The sequence below is a fragment of the Homo sapiens genome, chromosome 15, assembly GCF_000001405.40.
Source record: "Homo sapiens chromosome 15, GRCh38.p14 Primary Assembly".
NCBI lineage: Eukaryota > Metazoa > Chordata > Mammalia > Primates > Hominidae > Homo > Homo sapiens.
Window position 1 is genome coordinate 57,441,299 of NC_000015.10, and position 12,843 is coordinate 57,454,141.

Sequence of the window (12,843 nt, forward strand, 5' to 3'; positions counted from 1 at the left end):
GTATCTCCCTGTGGAAGACTTTACCATGTTAAGATTAAGGTAGAAGAAATCTTGACTTTTAAAATTCATTATTTTTTTTTTATTTTTTGGGACAGAGTCTCACTCTGTCATCCAGGCTGGAATGCGGTGGCATGATCTTGGCTCACTGCAACCCCCACCTCCCAGGTTCAAGAGATTCTCCTGCCTCAGCCACCTGAGTAGCTGGGATTATAGGTGTGCGCCACCATGTCTGGCTAATTTTTGTATTTTTAGTAGAGACACAGTTTCATCATATTGGCAAGGATAATCTCAAACTCCTGACCTCAAGTGATCCACCAGCATCTGCCTCCCAAAGTGCTGAGATGACAGACGTGAGCCACCGCACCTGGCCAAAATTCATTAAATTCTTTTATGTATGTATTTTTTGGCACATGATTTATTGAGACATTGGTAAGACAGACTTTAGTGGGAGGTGCCTGTTGAAGGAAGTTTATTTTAAATCTTTTTCTTCTAATTGCTGACGGTGTGGTAGAAGTTAATAAAACTTAGTATCTCCGTGTTACCTGTGAAAGCCCAGACAAAGGGCTGCCATGCTGATAATCTTGGCTTAGGGGTTTTATTTTTTTAAACATAGGTTAAACAAATTAAGATCATTGTAGATCATTCTTAGTGTAAGATTCAGATGTACAGCATGTTTGTGTGTGTGAGAGAGATATACACATACGCACTTCAAAGAAAAGGAGAATTCTTTTTGGAATGGACATGAGCATTTGAATCAAACAACAAATTACTAAATGTTCACTGGGTGTCTTCTCCAAGCTTACTGAGGATGTGTTTATGTGCCTCTCACATATTTGCAAGTGGGAACCCTGTCCCAAATTGAGTGGTAACACATCATTTATTTGAAAAAAAAAAAAAAAAAAAAAGACACCATCCATCCTACTCTCACACTGATTTTGTCTGAGGCTTTAATTAATTCACAGCTCCTGCAAATTATCTCCTTAAAGGACCTGTTGGGTGTGTGTCATGACATATAAATTGTTCTGAGACCAGTGGTTGTGTCCCTCATTGTTTTCTCTGCTGTCCCTTTTTCAGAAGCACTGATAATGACGATGCTACTAAAAGGAAAGTCAACTTGGTCTTTGAGAAAATCCAGACCTTAAAGTCTCGAGCAGCTGGGAGCGCCCAAGGAAATAACCAAGTAAATGGAAGTTTTGTATTTTGTAGAGTGCATTTAGCATGGAATGTGGTAAACAACTTGCTGTTTCTTCAGTCTGTATGTTTGTTTATAGCAGTAAGTGGGAAGTTGCCTGAGTAGTGAGGAGTACTCTTCATGTTTTACATGTTGCAGCAACATTTTATTGAGACAGAGTCTCTGTCACCCTGGCTGGAGTGTAGTGGTATGATCTTGGCTCACTGCAACCTCTGCCTCCTGAGCTCAAGCCATCCTCCTACCTCAGCCTCCCAAGCAGCTGGAACTACAGGCATGTGCCACCACACCCGGCTAATTTTTGTGTTTTTAGTAGGGTGAGGGTTTCACCATGTTGCTCAGGCTGGTCTCGAACGTCTGGGCTCAAGCAATCCACTCACGTTGGCCTCCCAAAGTGCTAGGATTACAGGCGTAAGCCACCATGCTTGGCCTTTCCCAGCCTTTTTTCCAGAAAAGTTTAAAGATATTTTATTTAAAAATACATAGACTATAACAGGATGATACAAACAGATGGCGAGATTTAGAAGAGGAAAATAAGAATAGGAAGACTAGCATTGTCATAGGCAAACATGGAAGGTAAGTGTGAACAGGCTTGGACCCAAGCTCTGGAGCTTCAGGTGTGAAAGAGAATGGGACTAGAGACTGGTGACACTGATCAGCTGTGGTGCAGGGGACAGGAAAGAGCCCAGTGGTGCCAAGTTAGTTTTTAAATAACTGCCTGTCTGATTGATTGTGCTGAATTTGAGTGGGGACATAGAGATTTTTTTGGTTAAGGAAGGAGCCCTCTCACATTTGATAAACAACTACTCTATGTCAGACACACCTGGTGCCCTGGAAGGAAGCCACTCGTAAGAGAGTACGGCTAAACACTCGTTCCTCAATCTTCCACCGCCTTGTGTGGAACTCATTTCTTGCTTGTCCATCTTCCTTTCCCCTCCCAGGGGAGTTCTGCATGGGAAGGAAAGAGGAAGACACCTGGAGGCAGGTAACAGGAAACTTGTCTGTAGCTTCTTTCTAACTTGGGAAGCGTACATACAGGGGATAATTTTAGGCGTCAACCTACCATCTTTACTACTTGTTATTCCCCCAGCACTCAGCTAACCCATGACTGCTGCTGTGGCCTCAAATAGAACAATGCCGTACACACACATACGCAATTCCCACTGGGGAATCTTTACACCATAGTCCTTGCGTATTACACCATAGTCCTTGCATATACATAGCCTTGAGGAGCTCTACATAGTTCTTAAAGTCAGTCCAGTATTTGTTTGCTAAAACTCTGAAGTCCAAATTATCAACACGATTCTTGTTTTTTTGTATACCTGCATACAGGCTATGCAGGGAGTGCGGGTTGGAATCTCACCGGCTGTTACAGAGCAATATAAAGGGTCTTGAACACAGGGGCTTTGGGTATAACTTAGCTAACAGATGAGTCTTCAACAAATATCCTTTTTATATTGTTTTATTGGGGTATAACTTATATAAAGTAAATTACACAAATTGTATCTGTACAGTTCATTGAATTTTTAACATAGTTTTGCATCCATGCAAATCTCAACCAGATCAAGATGCAGAACACTCCCATCACCCAGGTTTCCTGGGTTTCTTCCCCCATCAGTTACACCCCATTCTTCTGGAGGTAATCATATCCTGACTTCTATCACCTAGAGTCGTTTTGCCTTTCTTGACTTTTATATAAATTTTCACAATATGTATTCTTGTGTGTGTAGCTGCATTTCCTCAACATTATATCATCAAGATTCATTAGTGTTGCATGTACTCGTAGTTTTTTTTGGTATCGAAATGTAATTTTCCATTGTATCTGTATAACATAGTGTGTATTCTTGGTGTACATTTCTGGTTTGGGGCTATTAGGAATAAAGCTACTGTGAACATTATTGTACTTGTTTGGGGAGGGGAGTAAACACATTCACTCATTTCTCTTGAGAATATACCTAGAAGTAAAATTGCTGAGTTGTGAGTTAGGCATGTGTTTAACTCGTAAATTATACCTGTTTGTTCTTAGAGTGAGCGCAGTCTTTGGCCTTGATGTTGAGATTGTCCTTGTGGGTCACAGACTAGGGGTGAACAGCCTGAACTGGGTAAGTCAGGGTAGCCCTTCTAGGGACAGTGACACTAATGGTGCCCCAAGAGATCATAGAATTATTTGTGAGAAGAAGGGAAGCTGGGGTGTTCTAAGTTAAGTGACTAGCACAGACAAATATAAAGAGGCATGGGTTGCCATGTTAGAGGGAATTTAGTGTAGTGGGAACACAGAGCCAGGATGGGCTGAGGAAGAGCCTGGTAGCAAGGACATTGGAAGTTGGAAGTTATGTAAGAAGTTTCCATTTCGGGCTGGGAAGGGGATGGGTTACCATTGTTGGATTTTAAACAGATGTGAATACCATTGTGTTTGTGAAAGTTTATTCCTTTTGTGGCTTTTGGAAAGAGGTAAGATTAGAGGAAGAGAGACCAATGAAAAGCTAATGCCTGTCTAGGTGTGGTCCCTCACACCTGTAACCCCGGCACTTTGGGAGGCTGTGGAGGGAGGGTTTCTTGAGGCCAAGAGTTTGAGACCAGCCTGGGCAATGTAGTGAGACCCTGTCTCTAGAAAAATTAAAAAATTAGCCAGGCGAGGTGGCACATGCCTGTAGCCCCAGCTACTCAGGAAGCTGAGGCAGAAGTCACTTGAGACCAGGAGGTGGAGGCTGCAGTGAGCTATGATTGTGCCACTGTACTCCAGCCTGGGTGACAGAATGAGTCATTGTCTCTTAAAAACAACAACAAAAGAAGCTGCCAAATCAAGAGATGATGAGAAAATGAACCAAGACTTTTAGACTTCAGGTTCCTATTACAGCTCCATGACTGTTTAATTGCCACGTTTTCCTACTCCTCTTCCCTCCCTCTTAGGTTTGGAATCTGATTACTTGCTGGCAAAGGTTTTAGAGTTTTATCTTTGCGGTGTCACTTAAGTGATTAGGAGAGAATGTAAGAACCCTCTCCCTTAGGGACGGAGACCATACTGGAAAACAGCAAAGCAGGTAGAGATTTTGTATGGGAAAGAACAATGTATAATTTCCCTCACTGGGTTGGATTTCTGTTTCTAAAATGGATTGTTATTTTGCCTAAGAAAATTGGAAGTTGTGTGTTTGTGTTTCTAATCATCTTCACAGGAGTAGGTAGGGAAGTACCTCATTCCAAGTTTATCACACACAACTTGCACCTGGATTCAGGGATGTGTGAGCCAAGATGCCGCCGTTTCTAGCTTTGATTCCTACTTTTATTTCTTCCCCTCAGCTATTTGTAGTTTTCTAACCACTTTACTGTAGGATTTTAGCCAAATCCTTTTGAGAGAATCATCATGTTATTTTCATGGAAGAAGAAGAAGAAAAAAAGATCCATTAATATTCATACTCAGATCAGAGAGATAATATTTTGTAATAGACTCTCTTCAATCAGATCCCTCTTCATTATGGAAATGTAACATCTAAAAGGAGAAAGCCAATTTAGCTAACATACACTTATTTACTACTTGCATACAGGCTATGCAGAGAGGGATGGAATCTCACTGGCGGTGACTCAGCAATAATCTCTAGTGTAATGTAGATTACACTGTAACAAATATATGTATAAAGGGTCTTGGGAACACAGAGGCAGGGGCTTTGGGTATAACTTAGCAAACAGATAAGTCTTCAACAAATATCTGTTTTTATATTGTTTTATTGGGGTATAACTTATATAAAGTAAATTACACAAATTCCATCTATACAGTTCATTGAATTTTTAACATAGGTTTGCTTCCATGCAAATACCATCTAGATCAAGATATAGAACACTCCCATCACCCAGGTTTCCTGGGTTTCCTGTGTTCCTTCCCCATAAATTGTCCCCCTTCCTTCTGGGGGTGATCATATCGTGACTTCTATCACCTAGAGTAGTTTTGCCTTTCTTGAATTTTACATACATAAAATTTTACAATATGTATTATAATAAGTATTCTCGTGTGTCCGGCTTCATTTCCTCAACATTATATCAGCAGGATTCATTAATGTTGCATATACTGGTAGCTATTTTGTATTGAAATGTAGTTTTCTGTTGTAATCAGTCAACATAGTGTATACTCTTAGTGGTCATTTCTGGTATTTAGCTGCTAGGTGTAATGCCAAACTGAACATTACTTTTTTTTTTTTTTTTTTTGTAAACACACTCACTCATTTCTCTTGAGAATATATCTGAGAGTATAATTTGTGGGTTGTAAATTAGGTGTACTTTTAACTGTTAAATGTTCCCAAATGATTTTACACAGTGATTGAAACAATTTACACTCCTGGTAGTGCAGCATGCCAGTTCCAGTGGCTATATATCCTCTGTAATACTTAGACTCTTTTCCATTACTTTGGTCTACTTGTCTCTCCTTACACTACTATCGTACGGTTTAAATACTGCCACTTTAGTAAGCCTTCAGATCTGGTAGCTTTATTCTTCTCCGAGATTATCTTAGCTATTCTAGGTCTTTTGCCTTTCCATATAAACTTTTATCAGCTTGTCAGCTTCCACCAAGAAAAGCCTCTAGGAATTTTGATTGGGATTATACCAAATGCATAGATAAATTTGGTGGAACTGACGTCTTAATATTATTGGTGTTCTTATTTGTGAACATGAACTTTGTCCCCACTTATTTATGTCTTAGCATCTCTCAGCAGCGTTCCGTCATTTTTGTTAGAGAGGTCTCGCACATCTTTCATTTAGATGTAGTCCCTTTCCAGTGCTGTTCATTCCTTTCTGTACTTCTGTGTTTCCATCTCGGACTGGTTTCCTTCAGCCTGGAGAACTATTTTTTGAATATCCTCTAGTACTTTTCGTGGGCATTGTTTGAGAATAGCTGTCATTCACTCTCAGTTTTCAGGAACTCTAGTGTGGCAAGTATTGTTTTGCTTCATGAATTTAAAGACGTTATTCGTCTTTTGACCTCAGTTGGCTCCATTGGAAAGCCAGCCATCATTCTTAGTGTTATTCTCTTGAAAGTGATGTGTCTTTTCCCTCTGGGTGCTTTTAATAATTTATCTTTATTGTCAATTGTTAGATTTTGACTATGACGTGCCTAAGAGTGGTTTTTCTTTTATTTATTTTTCTTGGGGTTCAATGAGCTCTCGACTTGATAGGTTCATCAGATTTGAAAAATTCTTGGCTATTATTTATTTGAATATTGCTTCTTTCACATTCGGTCTCTCCCAGCTCTTCTCAGACTCCAATTACATGTATCTTAGAAATTTTGATGGTGTTCCTCATATCTCTTGTGCTCTATTCTCTCTCTTTTCGTGTGTGTGTGTGTGTGTGTGTGTGTGTGTGTGTGTGTGTATGTTGTATGTTTGGGGCATCAGATATTCTGGATATTTTCTATTGACCTTTCAAATTCATTAGTCTTGTTTTCTGGCTACGTCAATCTTACTTTAAGACTTTCTCTTTTAAGATGTCTTTAAAAGAATGTTTTTCTTCATCCTTCATTTAAAGGATGGTTCTTTTAAGAACTTTTCTTTGGCCAGGTGCAGTGGTTCATGCCTGTAATCCTGGGAGTTTGGGAGGCCGAGGTGGGAGGATTGTTTGAGGCCAGGAGTTTGAGACCAGCCTGAGCAACATAGTGAGATCCCATCTCTACAAAAACCATATTTAAAAATTGCCAGGCATGGTGGCTCATGCTTGTAGTCATAACTGCTCAGGAGGCTGAGGTAGGAGGATCACTTGAGCTTAGAAGTTTGAGATTACAGTGAGCTGTGATCCAGTGAGTTCTTAACTTTCAGATATTGTGTACTGCTGTTTTAGAGTGTCTACTTGGTTATATTTTTATAGAATCTATCTCTGGAACTTGATTAAAAAAAAAGGGCCAGGCATGGTGGTTCATGCCTGTAATCCCAGAACTTTGGGAGGCCAAGGTGGGTGGATCACCTGAGATCGGGAGTTCCAGATCATCCTGGTCAACATGGTGAAACCCTGTCTCTACTAAAAATACAAAATTAACCAGGTGTGATGGTGCGCACCTGTAACCCCAGCTATTTGGGAGGCTGAGGCAGGAGAATTGTTTGAACCCAGAAGATAGAGGTTGCAGTGAGCCAAGATCTGGCCAATGCACTCCAGCCTGGATGACAGAGCAAGACTCTGTCTCAAAAGAAAAAAAAAACAAAAACCCTTTGTCCATAATTGTTTCTATTTTAAAAATATTAGTTATAGTTAATTTGTAGTCCTTATCTGTTAACTTTAACATCTGGGTCATCTCTATGTCTGTTGTTTATTTTATTTAGTTACTGGTTAGTTCTTCCTACTTCTTTGCATGTCTAAGGATTTTTTTTTTTAATTGTATGCTAGACCGAGTGGGTGATGAGTTATAGATGTTCTGGAATGTGTTATCTCCCCCTGAAGAATGTTAAGTTTTGTTTTGACAGACAGTTAAATTACTTACAGATTACCTTGATTCTATATGGTTGGTTGTTCTAGGCATTATTAGGGAGTGTCTATTTAAGTTTTTGCCCTTACTCTTAAGACATGACCCATGTTCCTTTCTTGGATTTCAAATGAATGCCAGAATGTCCACCAAGGTTTCTCTATTTTGGTTGAGTTGGAACCCTAGTGTCTCCCTAGCATTGGGCAACCTGTGAAGTTTCTGTTGGGTTCTTTGCCTCCTAATAGGTCTTCTCTGCAGTCCTCTTGAACTCTTGCTCTGCTCATATACAGCTTAGGATATCATCCAAGAATCCAGGGAGTATTTATTGTAGGTTCTTGGAACTTCTTCTGTGGACCTCTCTCCTCTCTCATACCCTGACCTTGAAATCCCTGTTGCTTACTATCTCTAAACTCTAATCTCTATTTCTTTCATCAGTGAGTTGCCACTCTGGACACTTTTCTCACTTAAATTAACAAACCTTATTTTTCAGAATAGTTTTAGGTTCTCAGTGAAATTGAGTGGAAAGTGCAGACAGTTCCCGTTTACTGTCCTGTCCCCACATACGCCCTCCACCACTGTTAGCATCCTATAGCATGGAGCGCACCTCTCACAATCAGGGGACCTACACTGGCACATCATTATCACTCAAAGACGTCCATAGTTTACGTTAGTGTTCACTCTTGGTGTTGCACATTCTACAGGCTTCTGACAAATGAACAATGACATGTATCTATCATTTAGTATCATAAAGAATAGTTTCACTGCCCTAAAAATCCTGTGTGTTCTGCCTGTTTGTTCCTTTCTCTCCCCTAACCTCTGGCAACCCGTAATCTTTTTATGGTTTCCAAGGTTTTATTTTTTCTGGAGTGTTCTGTAGTTGGAATCACACAGTATATCACCTTTTCAGTTTGGCTCATTTCCCTTAGTAGTGTGCATTTTTTCCCATGCGTTTTGATGGATTGGTAGTTCATTTCATTTTAGTATTGAGTATTAATATTCCATTGTCTGATATACCACAATTTATACATTCACCTTTTAAGGGCATCTTGATTGCTTCCAAGTTTTGTTAGTTATGAATAAGGCTGCTTTAAACGTTCACGTACAGGTTTTTGTGTGGACATGAGACTTCAACTAATTTGGGTAAACACCCAGAGGGCAGCTTCTGGGTTGTATGGTAAGAGCATGTTTAGTTTTGTAGGAAACAACCATACCATTTTCTAAATTATCTGTATCATGTTGCATTCCCACAAGCAAAGAATGAGTTTCTGTTACTCCACATCCTTGCCACCATTTGGTGTTGCCAGTGTTTTGAATTTTGGCCATCCTAATTCGTATATATTGGTATCTCGTTGGTTTGTCTGTTTGTTTTTTGAGATGGAGTCTTGCCCTGTCACCCAGTCTGGAGTGCAGTAGCATGATCTTGGCTCACTGCAACCTCCACTTCGTGGGTTCAAGCGATTCTTCTGCCTCAGCCTCCTGAGTAGCTGGGACTACAGACGTGTGCCACTACGCCCGGCTAATTTTTGTATTTTTAGCAGAGATGGGGTTTCACCACGTTGGCCAGGCTGGTCTCAGACTCCTGACCTCAGGTGATCGTTCTGCCTCGGCCTCCCAAAGTACTGGGATTACTGCATGAGCCGCCCCACCCAGCCTCATTGTTGTTTTAATTTGCAATTTCCTAATGACATTGTCTGTGCTTATAAAATTTTATTGTGCTGTGGTTTGGAAATGGAGTCATGGAGAACCCAGGGTGAATGTGGGGCTACCTCCTGTCTTTTCCTTTGTAAGGATCATAACTCTGTGTTGCTTGCTTTTCAGTGCCTGTCAACAATTGTTTTATATATTTTTGTCTAGCTTTCATAGTTTTTGCTGGGAGGGTAAATCTGATATTTGCTACTCTATCATGGCAAAACCAGAATTCTAACAATCATTTACTGAGATTTGATTAAATTTATGAGATACATTGGGTTCTGTAGATACAGAGGTGCATAAAACCTGGTCCCTGCCCCATAAAAGTTCATAATCTCCTGATGTAGTAATTCTCAAACCACTCTTAAGAAACACTAAAGCTAAACTGTATTCTGCCATTAAAATAGAAAAAATGACTGTCTTTACTTACAAAAAGATTTTGTTGCTGATTTTTTGCTAACCATTGATTTCCATGCTCTGGAATATAGAATTTATTATGGAGAGGCTTTTTAAGTTTTATTATCCTAAATTTAATGCATTGCTATTTTATAATATTCTACAGAATACATTACGGACTTCTAACAAATATGCCATGTATGCAAGTTTTAGTCATATTGGACTAGTGTTGATATACCTGATGAAACAATACCTGTGATTGGTAAATGCTGTAGAATAAAGTTCACTGGAGTCCCAAGGCAGGCAGTAACATTAACTCTGCCCACCAAGTCAGGGAAGGTTCCCTGAAGGGGTTGATGTTTGAATTGGGTCTTAAAATGTTTAGTGTTATGCCTCATCTGTTACTGCACTGATTATATTTGGAGGGGGAAGATAATTAAAATAAAGCACCCTGAACATTTAAATTAGTATATCTTTGCAATTAATTATAGGCTTGTAATTCCACATCTGAAGTCAAAGATCTATTGGAACAGAAAAGCAAGTTGACCATAGAAGTGGCTGAACTTCAGAGACAGCTTCAACTGGAAGTCAAGGTATCTGGTTTTTCCTTTATGTTATTTTTTCCATTTCTGTCTTGGTTGATAAAGAATATTTTACATGCATTGGGATAACCAGAGTGAAAGCCAATTTTTTTTCCCCCAAAAGAAACATTCCTCTAATCACTGAATAAATTCCTGTGTATTTGGCTGCTGCTGTCCAAAGAATTTTTTTTTTTAATGTAACCAAAGCCTATAGAGACTGTTTGCTTAGACAGAGTAAAAGAAACCCTGTTGGATTTAGGCAGGCCAATGGGAAACTAAATGTATATAAAACATCTGAACTAAATCATAGAAATAGCAGAATGAGGTTTGGCTGTGTTTGTGTTTTCTTTTACAAGTATTACAGTTCATTAAATATAAATGTTTGATGTTCTTTCTAGTTAAGAACTCCTGTGCCTTAATTATATAGTTTGATTAAGTTGTTTAATAATGTAAGTGCAAAGATATGGAGTCTGCTTGTTGAGAAGTAGGCTTCTGTGGGGTTACGTTAATGTACAGTGGAGGCTCTTTAAAATCACACTGATTCCTGTTAGAATCAACAGAACATTAAAGAAGAGAGAGAGAGGATGAGAGCAAACCTAGAAGAGCTCCGAAGCCAACACAACGAAAAGGTGGAGGAGAACTCCACATTGCAGCAACGACTGGAAGAAAGTGAAGGGGAGCTCCGGAAGAATCTGGAGGAGTAAGTTCTGGGCTGAGAGCCTGTTGCCCTTCCCAGGTTCTCTATGACATGTAGCTAGAAACTTTCTGTCCATTTAATACTACCCAGCCTTCCAAATATTTATAAAGGCAGCTGGCTTTTCCTTTTCTTCCTCTTATCTTTGTAAAATTATGAAGCTGGCGACACATGTAGACTGATAAACAAAAAGGTTAGTAATTCTTAACATTCTTTGTGCACCTTGAAGTATACGTTACAAAGTTTCAGTCCTTAAAGTGGACCTCCTAGCAGGTAAGTGGGAAGCAGGGAGCACTGAGCGCTGATACTGAAAGACAGAGTTCAAGGAGCCTGGGCCCAGCTTCTAAAAAGCATGTGTTACGTGGCCCCCGTGAGCTCTCAGCCTGTGCATTTTATCCTCGATGGTGCTGGTGTTTGTGATGGGTGCTTATACCTCCTCTGAGTCTACAGAGAAGGAAAGTTAGGTCCAAGATGCCCCTGCCATTGTGTTGTATTAAAAGCTGTGGCAAAGGAATCGAAAACCAAGGTCTAAGAATAAACAGTGCTATGACGTTCTGTGGACACGACAGAAGCCTTAAGTGGAAAGTCAAGTGGGAATGAAATCTAGGGGGAAGTTCAAGAAAAAGAGGACATTATATAATAAAAGCATTTGATTGTCCTTGCAGTTTTGATGGTGGTGTTTTGCGTTTAAAACAATCATAGATGCTAATTGCAGAAAAGAGTTTAGTAAGAAAAAAATCAGAAAATATAGGGTATAGTAAAAGTTTTACAAAATAAAAAGGTATAGTAGTTGTGAGTTTGGTTCAGGACAGAGTTTTGTAAACTTTTTTTTCATCAGGTGGTGATTATTTTAGGGTTTGTGGGTCATATAGTCTGTTGCACATACTCAGCTCTGCCATTGTGTCGTGAAATGAAATGGCTGCTCATAAATGAATGAGCATGACCATGTTCCAGTAAAACTTTACACTAACAGGCAGTGGGCTGAACTGGCCCACAGACCATAATTTGCCAACTCTCCTGGTCTAGAACACTGGGATAGTAGACAGTGGAAGGATGGGGTGGCTTTAGTGGGAAATTTTTCTGTTTCATTTCTTTATCTTCTGCATCCAAATTCTAGTACCCTACCATCTCCTTTTGGGGAGAAAATGTCTCCGTATAACCATACCCACTTTGTTGGTTTGAGTTCTCATTTATCCTCTTGTAAGCAATTAGACCATAGCCTAAGTTCTTCTCAGCCACCTTTTCAGGTTGGTGATCCCTTGCTCAGTGCAGAACAGAGAATGGGGAGGCTCCTTGGGGCTTTAGAGACTTGTGTAACCCTCTGAAGATCAGAAATCAGACTGGATGGAAATAAGCAGAGCCCAGAAGAGCCTGTCTAATGGGCTTCCTTCCCTGCCAGGCTATTCCAGGTGAAGATGGAACGGGAGCAGCATCAGACTGAGATCAGGGATCTCCAGGACCAGCTCTCAGAAATGCACGATGAACTGGACAGTGCAAAGCGATCGGAGGACAGGGAGAAGGGAGCTCTGATTGAGGTAAGCAGGGCTGTGGGGTCAGGTGATAAGACAGGCCCCACCTGCCTGGAAAGATGGAGTGGCTAGGGTTTGTGGACTGCAAGCCACTTTCTGATGTGCACACCTGCTCCACCTGTGCTCTTATGATCTGTGAGTCAGTGGATGCGCTTGATTCTCTCCTCTCAGCTTGGCATTTGCTAATTATTATGGGTTTTTATTATGTATTCTCTCTTCTCTAGATTATTATCTTGTTGAGGTATTAGATTCACATGTATGAAATTATTAGCAAGAATGTTGGTTTTCAATATGTACATTTTTGGGAGAGGGAATAAGTATAATTGAGG

At 40.1% G+C, this 12,843-nt stretch overlaps 1 protein-coding gene across 22 annotated transcripts in view; it reads left to right on the plus strand.

The window, feature by feature from the left end:
* CGNL1 (cingulin like 1) overlaps positions 1–12,843 on the plus strand; it is a 174,213-nt gene that overhangs the window by 64,794 nt on the left and 96,576 nt on the right. For all 22 annotated transcript variants that reach the window (XM_047433184.1, XM_047433186.1, XM_011522121.3 and 19 more), the window contains 4 exons: positions 1,075–1,180; positions 10,202–10,303; positions 10,843–10,991; positions 12,385–12,520. In XM_047433184.1, coding sequence (XP_047289140.1) covers positions 1,075–1,180; positions 10,202–10,303; positions 10,843–10,991; positions 12,385–12,520 — 493 coding nt within the window. The remainder of the gene's footprint in view (positions 1–1,074; positions 1,181–10,201; positions 10,304–10,842; positions 10,992–12,384; positions 12,521–12,843) is intronic.